Consider the following 22,114-nt stretch of genomic DNA (forward strand, 5'->3'; position numbering starts at 1 on the left):
TATGCACATCCTCTCGTATACTTTAAATCATCCCTAGATTACTTATAATACCTAATACATTGTAAATGCTATGAAAACAGTTGGCCGAGCACCGTGGCTCATGCCCGTAATCCCAGCACTTTGGGAGGCCAAGGCAGGCGGATCACGAGATCAGGAGTTCAAGACCAGCCTGGCCAACATGGTGAAACCCTGTCTCTACTAAAAATACAAAAATTAGCTGGGCATGCTGGCATGTGCCTGTAATCCCAGCTACTTGGGAGGCTGAGGCAGGAAAATTGCTTGAACCAGGACCTGGGAGGCAGAGATTGCAGTGAGCTGAGATCACGCTGCTGCACTCCAGCCTGGGCTACAGAGCGAGACTCTGTCTCAAAAAAAAAAAAAAGTTGTTATACTGCATTGTTTGTGTTATTTTTATTGTATTGTTATTCTGTATGTTTTAATAATTTTTTATTTGTGGTTGATTGAATCCACAGATGCAAAATTAGTGGATACCAAGGGATGACTGTGTATATATGTAAATGTATAATGTATTATCTATATTCTATCTATTATCTATTAAGTCTATCATCTCTCATCTATCTGTCTCTGTATCTATCTATCTATCTATCTATCTATCTATCTATCTATCTATCTGTACAGAGAGAGGGTTAAGGCCTATAGGAAAGGATTCTGGACAATACTTAAGCTGTACCATAGCTTTCATTAGGAAAGTAGGGCCTAAGGATCAGCCAAAATTAGGGCAGCCCTTATAAAGACTTACAGCCAGCTCTAAATCAGCCCAGTCCCAGACTGGAGCAAGTTGACCTATGCCTTCTCTATCAGTCTGCAATAATCAAAAGTAAATCCTCTTTGGTGGAACACAATATCATCCAGACTATTAAATTATTTCTATAATTTTTATATACAATATTCATCATTTAATTAATTTACTATATATAGCATAAGATAAAACTAAACAACTGAAAAACAGGTAAAAATGTCCTCAATATAAACAGATCCAGTGACAGTCCAGATACTGGAGTTCTCAGACATAGATTTATAATATCAGTAATTTATATCTTCAATAAAATATGTGAGAGAGTGGGAGATTTCAACAGAGAAAAGAGATCTATAAAAATAATAAAATGGAACTTTTAGAACTGAAAAATATAGTAATTGAAATGAAGAATTTACATGTTTAATATCAGTTTAGACATAGCTGAAGAGAATATCAGTGAACTAGATGAAAGACTGATAGAAATATCCAAGTTGAATCATGAAAACAGAAAAAAGAAAAAAGACAGAAAATACAGAAGAGCATAAAAGACAAGTGGGCTGTGGTGAAAAGCTGTGGTAGGAGTCGCAGGACAAGAGTAGGGAGAGAATGGGGGAATATGATATTTGAAGGGATGATGGCTAAAAATTTTTGAATAGATTGAAAGAGACTAAGGTACATAGTTAAGTAGTGCTGCAAACCTCAAGGGAGAAAAATAAGCAATGCCATTTCTAAGAAAATCAGAGTAAAACTAGTGAATCCAAAGACAATCAGAAAAGAAAAAAGAGACTTTTTCTCTCTATTTCTAGTTGAAGAAGACAGAGAAAAATAAGATATACTATTTTCAAAGAAGAATAGGCCTGACAGTTGATTGAGTTTGATAGAAATGACAAAATCAAACATGAGAAAATAACAATTTTAAATGCTTAAAGAAAATAATTTGCCTATTGTTCTTTATGTAGTGAAAATAAGGTTAAATGAAAAACATTTTTAGATATACAAAAAATGAGAGAACACACTATTAGATGTTAAGACATTGAAAAGCTATAGTTAAAACACTTGCATTCATAAGGATAAACAAATAGATCAGTGGAACACAATAGAGAGTACAGAAATAGATCACACTCATATAATTGGTTGATTTATGATGTTACCAATGGGACATCATACCAAGAGGAGAGTACCTAGCATTGGGAAAGGGTGGCCTCTTAAATAAATGGAGCTGGGTCAATAGGATACCAGTAGGGAAAACACACTTCTTGACTCTACCTCATACAACACAAAAAATCAATTCCAACTTGATTATAGGTATAAATTAGACAATAAAGCTTCTAGAAGGTAATAAAAGTGAATATGTTCAAGACAAGTTAGACAAAGACTACTTATATGTGAAACAACAAGCACTAAACTTTAAAAAAATGACAAATTAGGTAGATTAAAAGGAAAAACTTCTATCCATTCAAAAGCACCATTCCAAGCGTGAAAAAAGCTGCAAAATAAAACATATTTGTAACACAAATATCCAGAAAATGGATTATAAACAAAACATGTAAAAAACTTACAGGTCAGTGAGAAATTCAATAGAGAAAGAAAGTTTTGAATAGGCATTTCACAAAACAGAATATCTAAACCACACACACACACACACACACACACACACACACACACACAAATACACATGCATGTGTACATATCTCAGCATCATTCATGAACACAAATATGGAAAAGAAAAAAAAACCTGAATTATACACCATATGCCACCAAAATAGCTAAACTTTATCATCTCTCTCTCTCTCTCTCTATCTCTCATCTCTCTATCTATCTATTTTTAGCAGCAGAGTCTTGCTCTGTCACCCAAGCTGGAGTGCAGTGGCACAATCATAACAGCTAAAATATAAGAGACTGTCAAGACTCAATGCCAAGATTTTGTGAAGATGTGGAGCACCTATAACGCACATACACTCTAGTACTGGTGGGGTTATTAACCAGCACTATCGCTAAAACTGAACATATCCATACCCTTTGTTTTAGATTACACTCCCCTAAAATCAAACACAGACAATCCTATTGCAAGAGGTTTCTTCACATAAGGGAGACAGGGTAGGGAAGGAAACTAAAAAGAGTGTGTGAATTCTTAAGCAAATTACCAGGGTTGACAACTGAAGTTGACTAGAGAGCTTTGGGAGACAGTGTAGAAGATGCTCTGGGATTAGAGGCAGTCATTGTTTAAGGGCTGCTACCAGAGATGTTAATCCCCTGACTTCCAGCCCACCGTGTGCATGTGTGACTGTGTGTATATGTGTGTATGTGTCTGGGGAGCAGGGTGCTCAGCCAGCTCCAGTGGCCACAGAAAGCCCTCATGCAAAGGATAGAAATGGTAAGAACCATGTGGTTATGAGTGAAATACCAGGAGCCTCTGCTTTACCTTATAACCCAGATCATCAATTTCTAGGAATATATCTAGCAAAAATACAAACACATGAATACTAGAGGCATGAACAAGAACATTCATAGCAGCATTAATTTTAACAGCCCCAAACTGGGGAAAAAAACTAATGTTGATGATAGTAGTATACATAAATATATTGTATTATGTTATAAGAAAAATATAAGCAATGAGAATGAATAAACTACTGTCCTATGTAGCAATATGGACGAAATGTGCAGATATCACATTGAGAGGAAAATACCAGACAGAGAGTACATATTGTATGGCTCCATTTACATACAGTCAAAATCAAGTAAAACCCATTTGTGGTATGAGAGGTCAGGATATTCATAGTTGCCTTAAGGAAAGTGGTGCATGTAGTGACTGGCCTGGGACAACAGGTGCCATTCCACTGTGTGCGGAATGTTCTATCTCTTGATTAGGGGGTGTTATATATATGCGTGTGTTGTCTTTATGAAAATTCATTGAGTATATGAGTATGCTTATGATTTGTGGCCTTACTATAAAGCCACAAAGATATATATATATATGTTATTTTCCAATGAATAGTTTATTTTAACAAATATAAACATAAGCCATTTAAGAATTAATGGCAACACTGATTTTACATTCCTTGAGAAAGAGAAATTCTCACTCTTGTCAGCGAGTTAATCCTGCACCCTTTAATTACATTTTAGGCAATTCTATTGGAGGGTATTGGAGAACTCATCACCTCAGTCTGTGATTAGATGTGAATACTCTGGAGAAATGACTAGGACATGCCAAATGTTAAATCTTCATTATCATATGTTCTCTTTTGCAAGTTCCTAGCTTCAGCTCTATTTTTATATTGCCTTTAACAGTTCCATAGTCCTGAGCAACTATGGCTGGTTTTTGTGAAATACATCTCATTATGAGACCAAAAGAAAATGTCTTTGTTTTTCTGATCAGTTCAGTTCTTAGGAATCCTTTGTGCAAATCACACCCCCTACTACTCTTTTTAAACATATTAAACTTTTACCAAAATCCTGATCTCTAGGCAAGTCTAACTGCTCTTCTCTATGTTTTTACAGAAGCATAATATATGTTTTGTCCACTATCTTGTAAAGAGATATGCCCTTCATTATCCTTCTGAGAGCAACCCTAGACATGGTAGGCAGAGTCATCTGGGTTCACAGATAAATGGAGACAGAGCTTAAGTATTTTTAGAAATGTAGTCAAAGCCAATAGGAGCTGCTTTTGAAATGCAAATGAGAATTGCATTGCCAGAAGGCAGATGTTGTAAGAAAAAAAGCATGGGTATGTGGCATGATACCCTGCCAGAGGTTATATTTGTGATTTTTCTCTTTTCTGAGACAGAGGTAGTAGAAAACCTGTTTAGGATTAGCAACAGTGTCTTTCATCACACTCTCCAATTCCTTGAGTTTATAGAGGTTCATAATAGCTACACATAGAACTATCAGTCTTCCCACAGTCAAGTACAGATTTCCATATTCTTTTTTTTTTTTTTTTTTTTTTGAGACGGAGTCTCACTCTGTCGCCCAGGCTGGAGTGCAGTGGCGCAACCTCGGCTCACTGCAACCTCCACCTGCCAGGTTCAAACAATTCTCCTGCCTCAGCCTCCCCAGTAGCTGGGACTACAGGCATGTGCCACCATGCCTGGCTAATTTTTTTTGTATTATTAGCAGAGATGGGGTTTCACCATGCTGGCCAGGCTGGTGTCAAACTCCTGACGTCCTGATCTGCCCACCTTGGCCTCCCGAAGTGCTGGGATTACAGGCATGAGACACTGCGACCGGCCCTGATTTCCATATTCTTTTTTTAAATTTTTTTGAGACAGAGTCTCGCTCTGTCACCCAGGCTGGAGTACAGTGGTATGATCTTGGCTCACTGCAACCTCCGCTTCCTAGGTTTAAGCAATTCTCCTGCTTCAGCCTCCCAAGTAGCTGGGACTACAGGCATGTGCCACCACGGTCGGCTAATTTTTGTTATTTTTAGTACAGACAGGGTTTTGCCATGTAGGCCAGGCTGGTCTCGAACTCCTGACCTCAAGTGACTCACCTGTCTTGGCCTCCCAAAATGCTGGGATTACAGGCATGAGCCATTGCGCCTGGCCCAGATTTCCATATTCTTTCCCGAACAGAATACAATAGGAGCCAGAGAGGGATAAAAAAGGAGCAAGCAAAGTCAGATAAAGCCCCAGATGACAGAGGTATGCTGTGATCAACAGTTGGGGTGTGTGGTAATAGAGGAACAAAGAAGGGGTAGAGATCCCTATGAATTATTTGTCTTTAGCCAAGAAGAAAATTAAGGATTGATAAGAATACTCGTCAAGAAAACTTTTATAAAACTGCTTAGTATTTAATCCTGTATAAACCTAACTGAAGGACATAAACATCTGTTTAATTACTATAGTTTTATGGTTTGTAACCTAACATAAGCTAATAATTGACATTGCTGAACATAAAATTATGTGTTTGTTCTAAATGCTGGGAATGAATTGTGATAGAAGAGACAAAATTAATTCAATTGGAGATACGTGGAGAAAATGGGCAGGAAATAGGGAGAAGTCTGGCTTTGGGGGATATTTCTTTTTCCACCTATGTCTTCATTTATTTTGAGGCATTTAAACATGTATCAATATATCTTTTCCATTCTGACTCTACCCTGCTTTAAACTTCTGTTTTAAAGGTAAAGGAAAAAGTGAAAGGAAACCTTTGTAACAGAGATAAGATATGAACTTTTTTTTTTAATGAATAAGTTTAAAAGTAATTTGGGCAAGCGGCTTAATAAAAGGGAAGATACCTGGATAACACGGTGAAACCCCATCTCTACTAAAAATACAAAAAGAAAATTAGCCGGGCATGGTGGCGGGCGCCTGTAGTCCCAGCTACTCAGGAGGCTGAGGCAGGAGAATGGCGTGAACCTGGGAGGCAGAGCTTGCAGTGAGCCGAGATTGTGCCACTGCACTCCAGCCTGGGTGACACAGCGAGACTCCCTCTCAAAAAATAAATAAATAAATAAATAAAAAGGGAAGATACCTTTCCTTCACTGGACAGTGCTGGGTGCTACCAACTCTGCTGATGATGGTAAGAAACTGACCGGACATCCTTAAAATGGTTTTCTAAGTTCAGTAGTTCCCTCAGACTGACTAAACTTTAGACAGGTTTCTTCCTGACTAAAAGTACCTAACTTCCCTTTACTTAGACTGTTTGCTTTAGAAAACATGAAATTATAAATTCTTTCTCTGCCCCTTTGAGATGTAAATCTTCTATAAATTATGTCTTTCTTAAGGACCCAGGAGAAATCTACTTCAAATGCAATCACCAAGAAAAATACCCACCACATCCCAGGCTCTGTGAGAGAGTAGGAGAATAACTTTGATGAACACCAATTAGCAAACACAGGGGGCTGAATCACATAAACAATCTTCCCGCTAATATCCTTTAGTACTTTACCACTAGTTTTTATTTCTGTGGAGTTGAGGTCAATCTCTCTCCTCTACTGCAATAGTCTTGAATAAAGTCTTCCTTGCCTTTTAATTGGACTGCTATAATTTTTCTTTTACAAAACTTAACAAAATATTGCTTTCAGTGTAAGTGCATTTGAAGAAGCCAAAAATTCTACAAATTATGTAGTTGCAGTTTATCCTGGTATTGGAGAACCTCCTCCACACCCTGCCACACACTGCTACCCCCCTTAAGATAATAGCACTTGTAATATTTAGCAGCTCCTGTACTTTCAAGCTGGAAATTCCCTAAAGGTCCAGCCAGAGTTCTGGCTAGACTTAATACTTCTGAACTCAAAAAAATGAGCCAAAAAATGGGAGGAATGTATATAACTGAGGCAGGTGGAGAGCAAATTCTGTGAGGGTCTTTTGATTCTATAAATAGAAACAGTTTCAGAAGTTGATTCCTATCAGATGTTCAAACATTTTCTCTGCTGTTGGCATCAATATTAACAGCTTGTCTTGTGATCACATCTTTCATTTATGTGAAAAGAAGCTAGTCTCCAACCTCATCTTGGCATCCCTCATAACTTAGGGTTCAACCTTAATGTGTCCCTTGCTTATACTAAGAAACCTCTGGCCGGGCACAGTGGCTCATGCCTGTAATCCCAGCACTTTGGGAGGCTGAAGTGGGTGGATCACCTGAGGTCAGAAGTTCAAGACCAGCCTGACCAACATGGTGGTCATGTTCACCAACATGGTGAAACCCTGTCTCTACTAAAAATACAAAAACTAGCTGGATGTGGTGGCAGGTGCCTGTAATCCCAGCTACTTGGGAGGCTGAGGCAGGAAGAACTGCTTAAAAACCAAGGAGGCGGAGGTTGCAGTGAGCTGAGATGGTGCCACTGCACTCCAGCCTAGGCGATAGAGCTAGAATCCGTCTAAAAAAAAAAAAAAAACCTCCAAAACATTTCTTCTTCCTAAGATAGTAACCTCAGTGAGCACAAAGATGAGGTTTGTTTTGCTCACAGTGCCTTGCATGTAATACACACCTAGTAAATATTTGTTGAATATTCAACAAATTCCAAAGTTGAATATTCTCACATTTGTTTTATGGTTTTGTCATTGGCTGACATAAATGCCAATTTCCTAAGTTTTTGATTATGTCACTTTAGAAATGTCTTCCTGGGTACTTCAAACTATTTATGCATTCAAACAGGAGGCTATTTGTTTGATTTATCTTTTCAGTCGAGGGTAGGGAATCTGTTCCAAGTCACTTATTTTATCCTCCTCTCTAGTTCATTGTAATTAAAGGCCAAGCTGAGAAAACAAGAGACTTCCAAGACTGATGGTATAACTTTTATCTGTAGCAGAGGGGAAATTAAGGGATCATGCAGGGACTGAACTCTTAATGACCAATGAACCTCTAACAAAATCAAAATAAAGCATTTAAAACATGGTATTTACCAGTCTAGTTTTTTTTTTTTTTTTTTCAGATGGAGTTTCGCTCTTGTTGCCCAGGCTGGAGTGCAATGGCATGATCTCAGCTCACTGCAACCTCTGCCTCCCGGGTTCAAGAGATTCTCCTGCCTCAGCCTCCTATTATAGGCATGCACCACCACGCCTGGATAATTTTGTATTTTTTTTGTAGAGACGGGGTTTCTGCATTTTGGTCAGGCTTGTCTTGAACTTCTGACCTCAGGTGATCCACCTGCCTCGGCCTCCCAAAGTGCTGGGATTACAGGTGTGAGCCAGCGCACCCAGCCTACTAGTCTAGCTTTTGAAAAATCTCTTATCATTGAGAATGTTATTATCATGTAAAGATACATAGACTACCCAGAAAGTCCCACAGCACCAAACTGGGCTGTATAGCATTGTACCAGTCAGGCTGTATTAACTAGGAGTATTAGAAAACTCCACTACAATGATTACAAAATGCAGGTATTGTTTTCCATGTAACAAGAAGTCTAGCAGGTAGGTGATCTAGTGTTGCTGCACTGGCTCAGCGATGTTGTTGAGGACTTAGACTCTTTCCATTTGTCTTCTCCACCTTTCTTGGAATGCTGACATTTTTCCTCCTTCTTGCTTCCTCATGGTGACCACATAGTCGCTTCCCTTGGCAATGTAGGCAGCAAGGAGAAAGGGAAAAAGGGAGAGGCCCAAGACAGTCATATCTATCCATTTTAATAACTAAGAATAACCTTTCCTTGATGCCACACTCAGATCCTCCCACTTAGCTGTTGGCCACTCCTACTTAAATCACAGCCAACTGTTAGGAGGGTGGCAAGGCTGGATTGAAGCATCATGGTTTATACTCTGAGAGGAGTCCAGCCATCCTGAGTTCAAGGGCTCTCTGCCACCTGAATAAATGTGGATTTTGTTAGAAGAGAGAAATGGGATTGGGGAGGTTTGGATGTTGTTTAAACAGTCGATATTGTCTACCATACCTTTTCTTTTAAAACCCAATGTCTACTGGACACTTACTGTGTGTCAGGCACTGTAAATTTCTCCTGAATTAACTTAACGCTCCTAACAACCCTGTGCAGTAGGTACTGTTATCTTCATATTACAGAGGAGGAAACTGAGCAGCAAAAGTTTCAGTAATTTGCTCAAGGTCTTACAGCTAAAAAGGAGCACAGCCTGTACTTGAACTCCAGCACTTTATTTCTTGGACCCACCACTTTTCCATGTTGATTAATCTTATTCTCTATGCCATTTGTGGCTTTAAAAAAGTACAATACCTAGGGTAATTTTTTCTTACATGATTTTAGGAAGAGTGATATTTATAACAAGTTGACATACTGCCAAACTGATTTTGATTTGTGAAGCATCTAATGGGGATTTTTAAAAGTAATTAAGTATGAAGCTTTCCTTCTTGTTAGTTTCAAATGTTGAAGAATCCCATATCTAACATATATCTGTTGACTTTAATTCTACAAACCTTTACAGACAACCCACTATGTGACAGGAATCACAAAGGCAGAGCTAGATAATAAAAGTACTCTAGTCAAGGACACAGGCTCATAAACAAATAATTATAACATGATAAGTGTTATCATAACAAAATGTACAATTACACTCAGGCTGACAGATTAGCCTAAGGCTGGGAACTCTATGGGGGGAGGTGAAAATTGAATTGAGCTTTGAATGAGCAAATATTTGAAACCCATTAGAATCAGTAAAAGTGATCAAATGTTGAAGCAGAACCTTGAGAAATTGGAAGCTGTAACATGTTTAGATAGCTTTGAATGCAAAATGTGCAGCTTGATGATTAACTTTCACTTATCTTGTGAAAGGAGTTTGAGAACAAACATGAGCTCATATAAATGTAATTGGCTTTAGAAATATGTTGGATTTTGTAAGCACCAATACTTTTATTTGATCATCAAAATCCCAAGCAATGGCTAGATATGTAATAAAACAAATATAACAAAACATCAATTGCAGAATCTATATAGTAGGTATATGGGTGTTCATTATACAACTCTTTCGAATTTTCTTTATGTTTGAGAATTTTCACAATAAAATATTGGTAAATAAAAACAATGTAATATGTCTCCTCGGGAAGGCTGAGAATATCCAGGACATATAGTTTACTTGTATAGCTCTTGCATTTGTACAAAGCTGGTGTTTTTCTGTACCTAGGGATATAGGTCAAGACAGTCAGCTCAAGTTTAAGCTAATCAGATAGTCCAATCCCTTAGCCATAGTTATTGATTCAAGTAAGAAGATATATACAAAGATAGGCTATTAAGATTTGAATGAAGTTTGTTGACATCTTCAGGGGAAGGAAATTTCCTCGCTCTTTGGAGAGTTTCTGAAACCATCTGATCTTTCTCTTGGGTTGTAGAAGAAGAAGGCTATACTTAAAAATGGTTGAGAGTCATTTAAAAATGACCAGAGAAAACCTAGCAGAAGAAAAGTAGGTCCTTATTGCCACCACTGTAAAGCTACTAAACCAAATCTTTATACCTAATCTTTACAGTTAAACATACAAATAAATTCTTCGTTAATCCAGTGTGCATTCTACTGAATATATCTTTTTATGAATCTCATATGTGAAATAAACACAAAATTCATGTAAGGAGACAAAATAATGATATTAAAATTGTATAAGGAAGTGCAAAAATATATGTATTCTAATCCATCCCAAAAGGTAAGTTTTCAGCTTACAAAAAGGTAAGAACTATCCATATAGTTAATAAATAATTTCAAGTTAACATCAGAAACCGATGTCATTGATTATCAATAAGTACTTTTTCAACTTAAAGCAGTGTATTTAGTTCTGAATGTTCTAAAATTTTCCAGAAATAATGTCTTTCTGATGGCTACCACTAATGTATTAGTCTGCTCAGGCTGCCTTAACAAAAATACCACAGACAGGCTTGGTGGCTCAAAAAAGAAATTTATTTTCTCAGAGTTCTGGAGGATGGAAGTCCAAGATCAAGGTGGTTAGGGGTTGGTGAGGTTGAGCTGGCAGACAGCTTCTTTTTGCTGAGTCCTGTCCTTTTCCCTGTGCCACAGAGAGAACGAAAGCTCTCTGGTGATTCTTTCTCTTTTTATATGGACACCGGTCCTGTTGGATTAGGGCTTTGCTCATATGACCTAATTTAACCTAATTACATCTTTAAATGCCCTATCTCCAAATATAGTCACATTGGGGGTCAGGATTTCAACATATGAATTTGGGGGGGGATGCAATTCAGTGCGTAACATGTATGTGAATGCATACACACACACACTCACACATGCACATTTATATTTCTATCCTCAACCTTGGTAAATGTGTGACCTTTGAAGTGAAACATTGCAAAACATGAGTGAACCTTGCAGATGCTTATTCCTTTATGTGCTCCCTCTCACCCACCACCATACTCTACATACACACCAGGAAAAAACTAAAAAAAAAACACTTAGTAGGCAGTCATTGCATCATAGATATGGTTGCCAGATCAAAAAAAAATACCATTTAAGTTTTAATTTTATATAAAAAAATATTGCTTCGGATATGCTGAAAACCTATTATTTGGGCTGGCCATGGTGGCTCATTCCTGTAATACCAACACTTTGGAAGACTGAGGTGAGAGGATGGCTTGAGGCCAAGAGTTTGAGACCAAACTGGGCAATGTAGTGAGGCCCTGTCTCTAACAAAAACAACAACGACAAAAATGGGTCATAGTGGTACGTGCCTGTAGTCCAGCTACTCAGGAGGCTGAGTTTGGAGGATTGCAGCCTCGGTGACAGAAAGATACCCTGTCACAAAAAAGATAACAAAATAATCCTATTACTTGATGTTTATCTGAAATTCAAATATAACCCGATGTCCTGTATATTATCTGGCAACCTTAATCATAGATTGAGGATTTTTTTGTTGTTAGTCTTGGAAAGAGGGAAATATTACCTTTATGTTCAGGAATAAGCTTAATTTTTGATCCCGCTCAACCCTGCTAGATCATATGTCCTGGCCAATTCTGGTTGAGACTGCTGCCGAGTATATTGCATTACATTCCTACTTCATGTTTAATTTCATCAATGTCAAATGTTTTTGGTGTGGCTTCAGATGGGTGGCTATGTGACAGGCTGTGAACACCAGGCAAGAGAAACCTCAGCTTCTGGTTTTACTAAGTATAACTTTTTAAAAACAGCTTGACAGCAACACATGCTTAGTGCAGAGACCTCTCTGAGGACCATATCTGTGTGCTGCAATGGAAGTTGATCTCTTTGCATTGTTGATTTTCAATAAAGGTTGTGGTACAGTTGAATTGTACACTTTCCCCCAAAAAAGATATATTGAGAAACTAAGCCCTGGTACCTCAGAATGTGGCCTTATTTGGAAATAGGGTCTTTGCAGATTGTGATTGGTTACCTCGAGATGAAGTCATATTGGAATAAGGTGGCTTCTAATCTTAGGTGACTGTTATCCACATAAGAGGTCACCAATGTGAAGACAGAGACATACAGGGGGAATATCATGTGACAACAAAGGCAAAGATTGGAGTTACGCAGCTGTGAGCCAAGAAATGTTGAAGGTTGCCAGCAAAGCACCAGAAGCTAGGAAGAGTCAAGAAAGGGTTCTATTTCTGACAGGGAGAGCGTGGCCATGCCGACACTTTGATTATGGACTTCTAGCCTCCAGAAGTGTAAGACAATACATTTCTGTTGTTCAGAAAAACAAATACAGCATGTTCTCACGTGTAAGTATGAACTAAACATTGAGTACACACAAATATAAAGATGGGAACAATAGGCTAGGCATGGTGGCTCACATTTGTAATCCTAGCACTTTAGGAGGCTGACAGGGGTGGATCACTTGAGGTCAGGAGTTTCAGACCAGCCTGGCCAACATGGCAAAACCCTGTCTCTACTAAAAATACAAAAATTAGCCAAGCATGGTGGCGTGCGCCTGTAATTCCAGCTACTGGGAGGTTGAGGCGTGAGAATTGCTTGAACCAGGGAGGTGGAGTTTGCACTGAGCTGAGATTGTGCCACTTCACTTCAGCCTTAGCGGCAGAGTGAGACTCTGTCTCAGGAAAAAAAAATATATATATGTGTATATATATATGAACAATACATACTGGGGAATACTGGGGATTACTAGAGTGGGGAGGGAGGAAGGTGGATTTGGGTTGAAAAACTACCCATTGGGTACAATGCTGACAACCTGGGTGACAGAATCCTTACCCCAAACTTTGGCATTCACACAATATACCCATGTAACAAACCTGCACATGTACCCCCCCGAATCCAAAATAAAAGTTGAAATTACTAAAAAAAACTCTGTTGTTTTAAGCTGCCCAGTTTGTGGCACTTCATTACAGCACCCCTAGGAAACTAATACAGATTGTTACAATTTTTACTGTTATTATCAGAAGAACAATAGAATAGAGCCACTGAGGGATGAGCTAGGTGTAAGGCGAATCGTGGGGCCTACTTATAAGTGTTTGAAGTGTCATGCCTTTGGAGGAAAAGTCTATTCCTACCAAAGAAATGGACACCTGAACTCCTGACAGCTCAGACCTTCTTTAAAAAAATTATTTTTTGATGGCACTTCTTATTTCACTTTACTGCAACAATTCCAATGAGAAGTGCAAAAGGATTTTTATTGTCATATCAGATTTACATGGTAAAATTTAATGTACTTCTTGTCAGTTTTAAACACTGGAAATATCAATAAAATGTCAAATTATATTTGACTTCAAACCCAAGTGGTTATAAAAATGCAATACAAATTTACAATCATTTAGTCTTCCCCTTTTCCCACAATAAAACCCTGTTTTATTCTTTATGGGAAGCTAAACTTATTTTGCTCAAAGCTGATAATTTATTAAGGCTTACATCAGATCTGAAGTATGTTTCTCTTAGAAATCAATGGTAGGCCTGGAACGAGGACCAAACTTTTTAATTATGGCTTTGAAGTAATGTAATTGTGGTTTTTAATGCCTCATTCATCTGCTTGAAGGATTATATGAGTTTGTTCAAAGTTCTGGAAGCAATAAAATTAATTTTTATGGACAGTGAGCCAGCAAAAGGATACTGGTGATGCTAATTGGAGTGTATGACATAATATCTCTTAATGCATTTTGTGATCTATCTTACACAATGAACATCTTGCCCAGGGTGTCAGCAGGAACTGCATCAAAGGAACTTTTGTCGGCCTTCTGTTCAAATACCTGCTTTTTTTCTTTCTCTTTTTCTGCATTCCTGGTATTAAAACAATTTATTCTCTCTTGGATGAAAGATTCAGTGGCATGCAGCTGATGTTTCTTACCGCTATTTATGAGGATTTGAGGCCAAGCCTGTCTACAGATTAAGGTTTTTAGGCAATGCTCATTTCAGTGATCAAGAAGGTCAGCCATTCCTTTCAAGTGAGCGTAGCTGAATGGGCCATAGTCACCACTGAGAGTGAAGCTTATAAGAGAATTCAATAAAAGGAGAAGGAGAATGCTAGAGAGAGCACATAAGGAGAGATCCTGGTGGAGCATATCCTGGCACCTTTCCTTGGACTCCCAAAGAAAGCATTTTTATAGTATTTGAGGATAATCAGATTTCTGGATCATAACTTGCTCAGGCAGGGCAAACATTAAAAAATAAAGTTCAAATCTTTTCATGTTTCACCCTTTCCCTCCTGCATACATTTGTGGGTTTTTTTTAATTTCAATTTTTATAATTATGTGGCATCATATATGTCTTTGTAATGCCAATGGACTATTTATTCATCCCCTTTTTCTAGAAAGGTAACTATCTAGTATATCTGGAAATATTCATTTTCTACCTAATAATTCATTTTTATTTTTTTCTGATGTTCATTTTATTCTAATGTTCTTTCTTCTACATTTTAGTAGCATTTCACAAAATTAAGATGCACTTTGTATATAACTTAGGTTGGTCCATATCAAAAGTAAATATTGAACATAAAAAAGGAATTTATAAAATTATTTTTCTAGTTTTGAGGTTTAGTTGGAATCGGCTATTTGACCCTTAGCATACTTCTGTGTTTTGTAGCTTGTTCTCCGTCTGTCTCTTAAGCTTCTCCTAAATGATGACTTCATATTTTCTCTACACCCCACAGACATCTGAGTCCTCCCTCCACCTTTCTCCTTCAGTCAATGGCTTGGCTTCATTGTTCATGAAAAAAAAAATGATCAGATGAGATTTTTATTTTTATATCCAGCATATAAAAATTGTTGTGGTGGGCAGAATAATTCTCCTCCCCCCATCTGCCAAATAGCTAGCTCCTAATTTTTGGAAATGGTGAATAGATTAAGTTACACAGCAATGGGGAATTGAGGTTGTGGGTAGAATTTAAGTTGCTAGCTAATCAGCTCACCCAGAAATAGGAAGACTATCCTAGATTATCCAGGTGGACCAAATGTAGCCATAAAAGTTCTTTACAAAGTGGACAAGAAAGGCAGCATAGGAGGTCAGGGTGACGCACTGTGAGAAGGACTCAACGTGAGTTTGTTGGCTTCAAAGATGGAGGAAGGGAGCGATGAGCGAAGGAACGTGGGTGGCCTTAAGTAGCTGGCAAGGAAGAAAGCATCCTACCCAGAGCCTACAGGAAGAAATGCAGCCCTAAAGATATCTTGATTTCTGCCTGGTGAGACCCACATTAGTTGTCTGACCTACACAACTGTAACATAATAATTTGTGTTTATTGAGCTTGTGGTAATTTGTTGGTTTGAATTTGTGGTAATTAGTAACAGCAGAAAACTGAAAATTAATCAACAATCAAACCAACAAACCAAACTAAATGAAATAACCCAAACACAAATATAACCAAAAGAAACCTTCCCAGACCCTATACGTTGCTTCTCTTCCTCTCTCTCTCTCCCTCCATTATTTCTCCTGCAATCTCAATCTCTCTCTCTCTCGCTCTCCTGTTATAGCAGAATTACTCAAAATAGTTGAATATACACATCCTGTACTTCCTTTCCCATGGCCTTCTTTCCATTCTAAATCTGGCTTCTGCATTCACCATCATACCAAATCTGTCACAGCTAAAATCACCAATGACACCCACCTTACCAAACTCAGGACATTTTCATTTTACATCGGCGTTTTTAATACATTCACCTATTCCCTTATTGAAATAGTACTTTCTCTTAGCGTCCATGAAAACAAACACTTAAAAGTGTTCGCTCTTCTTTTAGACTTTCTCAGTGTCTTCTGGCTTTCTCCACTACACCTAGTGCTTTTTATGGAGACAGCTCTGTGTTCAAACCTGAACCTCATCCAGGGTCCAAACATTAAAACAGAAACCACAGTAAATGCTTTGGACAAAAAAAAATTCACACATTGATTTTGTTACACAAGTGCTTAAAGCACAAAGCATATAAATAGAGGATAGCAAGGCAACCCAGAAATTCACAATAGCAAGAAGCAGCAATGGGTCTTCCGAAATCCTGATAGGCATAACCCACTGCCTACCTTCCATCTTCCTTGGATAGCATAAGGCACTTAAAGCTAAACAGTCGAAATCAAAGCTCACATCTTTATACCCAGACTTCATCCAGTGGCCCCCACCTTAATAAATGGAAACACCTTTCCCTTTGTTGCTTAAAGTCCCAGATGCCATGCTTAGTACATTTCTTGTCCTCACCAGTCTACTGACATCCAATAAACTACTCTTTATATTTTCCTTGTAAATAATTTCCAAAGCTGACAAATTTTCTTGGTCTTCACAGTCATCATCTGGTTCAAACCACCATCATTTCTCACTGTACCATGAAAAAAGTCAAAATTTTCTATTCTTTTACCAAAGAACTACATCTTAAAAGGAAATCTGAAGATGTGCACTCTGTTCCCCAGTCAAAAATTATATGTACATATAGAATGTAAGGGGAACCAGTTCTTAATAGGACCTAAAACCTTGTTTGATCAGGTCTTGCTGCCCATATGCCTTTCAAGCTCCCATGCACAACGTAACTGAGTTTCCCGTGGGCCTTTTCTCTCCTGCCCTCTCCTCAGCTTTCATTCCCTGGAATTCTGTTCTTCACTTCTCTATGGCCTCACTCATCCTGTCCTAAGAGAGGAGGATGCACTTATCTGATTGGGAAAGTTGGGAGAAGAAACTGGACACGTGTGGCTCAACCGTTCTTTTCCCTCTGACTGCTTGGGACTTACCTTTCTGCAGAAGCCACATATCAGCTCTGATACTTTTGTTACTAAATGTAATTTTAAAAAAATTCTTCATCTTTATGACTCTTCTACCTCTCAGTTGCAATTAATCACAAGCACAGAAGAGAGAGGGTTTCATTCTGTGTGCTCCCTAAATGTACAACATGCCAGCCTATTATACCACCTACTACAAGCTCTCAAAGCCTTCCATAGTACCCTCTCCACCATGGCATTTGTCACAGTGACAATGATATCATTATTTGTCTAACATATGTGAATTGTCTCTTTGCCCTGCAAAAAGCTGCAGTCTGTGAAGGAGACGCTTCATCTTTTTCGCCATTCTATCTCTACTGCCTAGCATGGAGCCTGGCACAGAATGAGCAGTCAGAAAATGATTGTCAAGGTTGGGTGTAGCGGCTCACACCTGTAATCCTAGTGGTTTAGGTGGCTGGGGTGGGAGGACTGCTTAAGGCCAGGAGTTCGAGATCAGCTTGGGCAACATAGCAAGACCCCCGTCTCTACAAAAAATTAAAAATTTAGCCAGGCATGGTGGTGCATACCTGTAGTCCCAGCTACTGGAGAGGCTGAGGTGGGAGGATCACTGGAGCCCAGTGAGTCAAGGCTGTGGTTAGCTGTGGTCATGCCACTGCACTCCAGCCTGGGCAATAGAGCAAGACCCTGTCTCTAAATTAATTAATTATTTTTTAATAACATGATCATTGCTAGAATACATGGAATAATTTGCTTCTTTTTACAGGAAAGGCCAGGGAGACCTCAAGAGAGCAGCCACTTCAGACAGGCATTGCCCCATAAGGAAAAGTTGGTGCTCTGCAGCAGATAATAAAATTGATATCCTGGCTTTTTTATACAAAAGAATCGAAAGGCACTATTTTATGACAAAATTATAATTAGATTTTATTTGTAATGTGACAGCAAACAGCCTAAATATATGATGAAGGAAGAAGGCAGCCAAAGAAGTTTAAGCACTCAGTATCTCAGATAGAAAATGAAATCTTTGGACTTCAGTCTGAGTTTTCTCTCACTGTACATTTCAGTATTTGATTTACCGATATGGTGTTTAGGATGGATGTATTCAATCAATGAGCACATTTAAGTGTGTCTAATCTGTAATAAATGCTGTGGGTAGTATCAAGGGCATAAGTCACAGTCCAAATTTCCGAGTCCTCCTGGAGTTCACAGTGTTAGCAAACGTCTAATAGCAGGCAGTATGCCTTAAATGCTCTGAACTTTGTTGTTGTAAATGTTGATTTCTCTTATAAATTACTCTGGCTTGGATTTCCTAGGTTTTCTTAGAACCTGTTTCTAAGGCAAGTTTGGTACAGGCCTTTTGCCATCTAAAACACTTGGGGCAGTCACAAGAGAAATCAGCTTATCCACTGAGGACTCTAGCAATTTGATGAGCACTTGCCCTGATTCTCAAGAGGGATTCTTCTTAAGAAAATAATGCAATATAATACACTGAGACTGTGCTTAGATCCTGCTCTTAATTGCTGTTTTTAAAACTGTTATTATTATTATTTTACTTTTTGGAGTCAGGATCTCTGTTGCTCAGGCTGGAGTGCAGTGGTACGATCATAGCTCACTGCAGCCTCAAACTCCTGGGATCAAGCGATCATCCTGCCTCAGCTTCTTGAGTAGCTGGGACTACAGGCATGAGCCACTATGCTGGGCTTTAATTGCTGTTTGACCTTGATAAACCTCTTCAATGTTTGGAGTCTGTTTTTGCAACAGTAAAATGGAGGCAATAAAAGTGACATCAGAGTGTGTTTCTGACTGCTTTTAAAAATAAGTTTTTATTTTAGAATAGCTTTGGATTTGCAGAAAGGTTGCAAAAATAGTAGAGTTCCCATATATACCCACAGAGGGTACCCTGATTATTAACATCTATAGTGCATATTTATAATTAATGAACCAATATGTTATATGATATTATATATTATTCCATATACATATACATACACACATATTATTAACTAAAATCCATATTTTATTCAGAATTTCTTAGTTTTTACCTAAGAGCCTTTTTTTTGGTTCCAGGATTTCATCTAGGTACAACATTACATTCAATTATCATATGTCTCCTTAGCTCTTCCTAGCTGTGACACTTTTCAAGATTTTTGTCTGTTTAGAGGATTGTGGCATACACTGTTAGTTGTCTTCTCAATGTCTCTTCTCTCCTTTCTTTTATTTATTTATTTATTTATTTATTATTTTTTAAATAGAGGCAGGATTTCATCATCTTGTCCAGGCTGGTCTAGAATTCCTGGGTTCAAGCAATCCTCCTGCCTCAGCCTCCCAAAATGCTGGGATTATAAGCATGAGTCACCACACCTGGCCTCTCCTTCCTTTTAAAAGAAAAGTAATGACAGTATGCTCAACTAAAACTCTCATTCTCCAGACTCCCTTGCAGCTAGGAGTGTCCATATGACCTCCTTCTGGGCAAGGAAACAGAAGTCAAAGATTCTGGATGAGGTTTCTCAGAAAGCTTCTTAAAGAGTCAGACTTGGCTGGATGTGCCTTTTTCCCTTACTCCACTAAACTTGTCCAGAGGGTGAAAATAATGATAAGAGATACAGCAAATATCTTTTTAAAATAACTATTGTATATTCTGTTTATTTCAATTATGAAAATGAATTTTGCAATTAATATATATGTACATATTTATTCATATTACCACATATTTGTAATAGCTTTATTAAGCTGTGATTCACATACCATACAACTGTCCTTTAAAGTATACAATTCGGTGGTTTTTAGTGCATTCACAAGTTGTGAAACCATCACCATAATCAATTTGGGAACATTTTCATCACCCCCAAATGAACCCTGAACTCATTTGCAGTGACTCTTCATTTCCCCAACTTCTGACCTCAACTCTGGGCAATGACTAATGTATTTTCTGTCTCTATAGCTTTGCCTATTCTGGACATTTCCTATAAATGGAATTATACAGTATATGACCTTTGTGTCTACCTTCTTTCCCTTACATATTTTTGGGTGTTTTTTAAGAACAAAATAGAGAACTCAGAAATAAGACTACACATCTACAACCACCTGATCTTTGACGAACCTCACAGAAACAAGCAATGGGGAAAGGATTCCCTATTTAATAAATGGTGCTGGGAAAACTGGCTAGCCATATGCAGAAAACTGAAACTGGACCCCTTCCTTATACCTAATACAAAAACTAACTCAAGATGGATTAAAGACTTAAATGTAAAACCCAAAACCATCAAAACCCTAGAAGAAAACCTAGGCAATACCATTCAGCACGTAGGCACTGGCAAAGATTTCATGATGAAAATGTCAAAAGCAATTATAACAAAACCAAAAATTGACAAATGAGATCTAATCACACTAAAGAGCTTCTGCAGAGTGAACAGACAACCTACAGAAGAGGAGAAAATTTTTGCAACAGTGGATAAGTTTATCTACAAAGAACTTAAACAAATTTACAAGAAAAAACAAACAACCCCATTAAAAAGTAGGCAAAGGACATGAACAGACACTTCTCAAAAGAAGACATTTATGCAGCTAACAAACATATAAAAAAACCTCAACATCACTGATCACTAGAGAAATGCAAATCAAAACCACAATGAGATACCATCTCACACCAGTCAGAATGGCAATTATTAACAAGTCAAGAAACAACAGATGCTGGCGAGTCTGTGGAGAAATAGGAACACTTTTACACTATTGGTGGGAATGTAAATTAGTTCAACCATTGTGGAAGACAGTGTGGCAATTCCTCAAAGACCTAGACCCAGAAATACTATTTGACCCAGCAATCCCATTACTGGGTACATACCCAAAGGAATATATTATATTTATAATATAGTAGAATAATAAATCATTCTATAAAGATACATGCATGTACATGTTCATTGCAGCACTACTCACAATAGTAAAGAGTGGAATCAACACAAATTGCCATCAGTAATAGACTGGATAAAGAAAATGTTGTACATATATACCGTGGAACACCATGCAGCAATAAAAAGGAATGAGTCATGTCCTTTGCAGGGACACAGGTGAAGCTGGAAGCCATTATCCTCAGCAAACTAGCACAGGAACAGAAAACCAAACACCACATGTATTCACTTATAAGTGGGAGCTGAACAGTGAGAACACACAGAGAGGGGAACAACACACATGAAGGGAGGGAGAGAATCAGGTAAAATATCGAATGCATGCTGGGCTTAATTCTCAGGTGATGGATTGATAGGTGCAGCAAACCACCATGGCACATGTTTACCTATGTAACAAACCTGCACGTGCACCCTGGAACTTAAAGTAAAATTTAAAAAAAAAGAAAGATCTAATTCTTTAAGGGTAGGGTCTTGCTCTGTCACCCAGTCTGGAGTGCAGTGACACTATTATGGCTCACTGTAGCCTTGAGCTCCTAGGCTTAAGTGATCCTTCAGCCTCAGCCTCCTGAGTAGCCAGGACTACAGGTGTACACCACCATACATGCAGTTAATTTTTAAAACGTTTTTAGTAGAGGTGAGGTCTCACTATATTGCCAGTGCTAAGTCTGTAACTGCTGGCCTCAAGCAATCCTCCTGCCTCAGCCTCCCAAAGTGCTGGGATTACAGGCATGAGCCCACATGGTTGGCCTCCTAAGCACATTTTTAAGATTTATCTATGTTGTAGCATGCATCAACGCATCATTTTCTTTGATGACTGAATAATATTCCATTTTGTGGATAGTTTATATTTTATTTATTCACTCATCAGTTAGTGGACATTTGATTTATTTTCACTTTTTGGCTATTATAAATGAAGTTGCTATAAACATTTATATACAAGTTTTTGCATGGACATATATTTTCTTTCTCTTAGG

General features: G+C 38.1%; 1 annotated feature.

The window, feature by feature from the left end:
• Nucleotides 4,936-5,116: a silencer, noted in NCBI's record as "fragment chr10:107366422-107366602 (GRCh37/hg19 assembly coordinates)". NCBI's record gives its function as "represses an EF-1alpha promoter that drives an FKBP-Casp9 reporter gene in an ReSE screen in K562 erythroleukemia cells {active_cell/tissue: K562}" and the evidence as "EXISTENCE:reporter gene assay evidence [ECO:0000049][PMID:32094911]".

Source organism: Homo sapiens, chromosome 10 (genome assembly GCF_000001405.40).
Source record: "Homo sapiens chromosome 10, GRCh38.p14 Primary Assembly".
Taxonomy (NCBI): domain Eukaryota; kingdom Metazoa; phylum Chordata; class Mammalia; order Primates; family Hominidae; genus Homo; species Homo sapiens.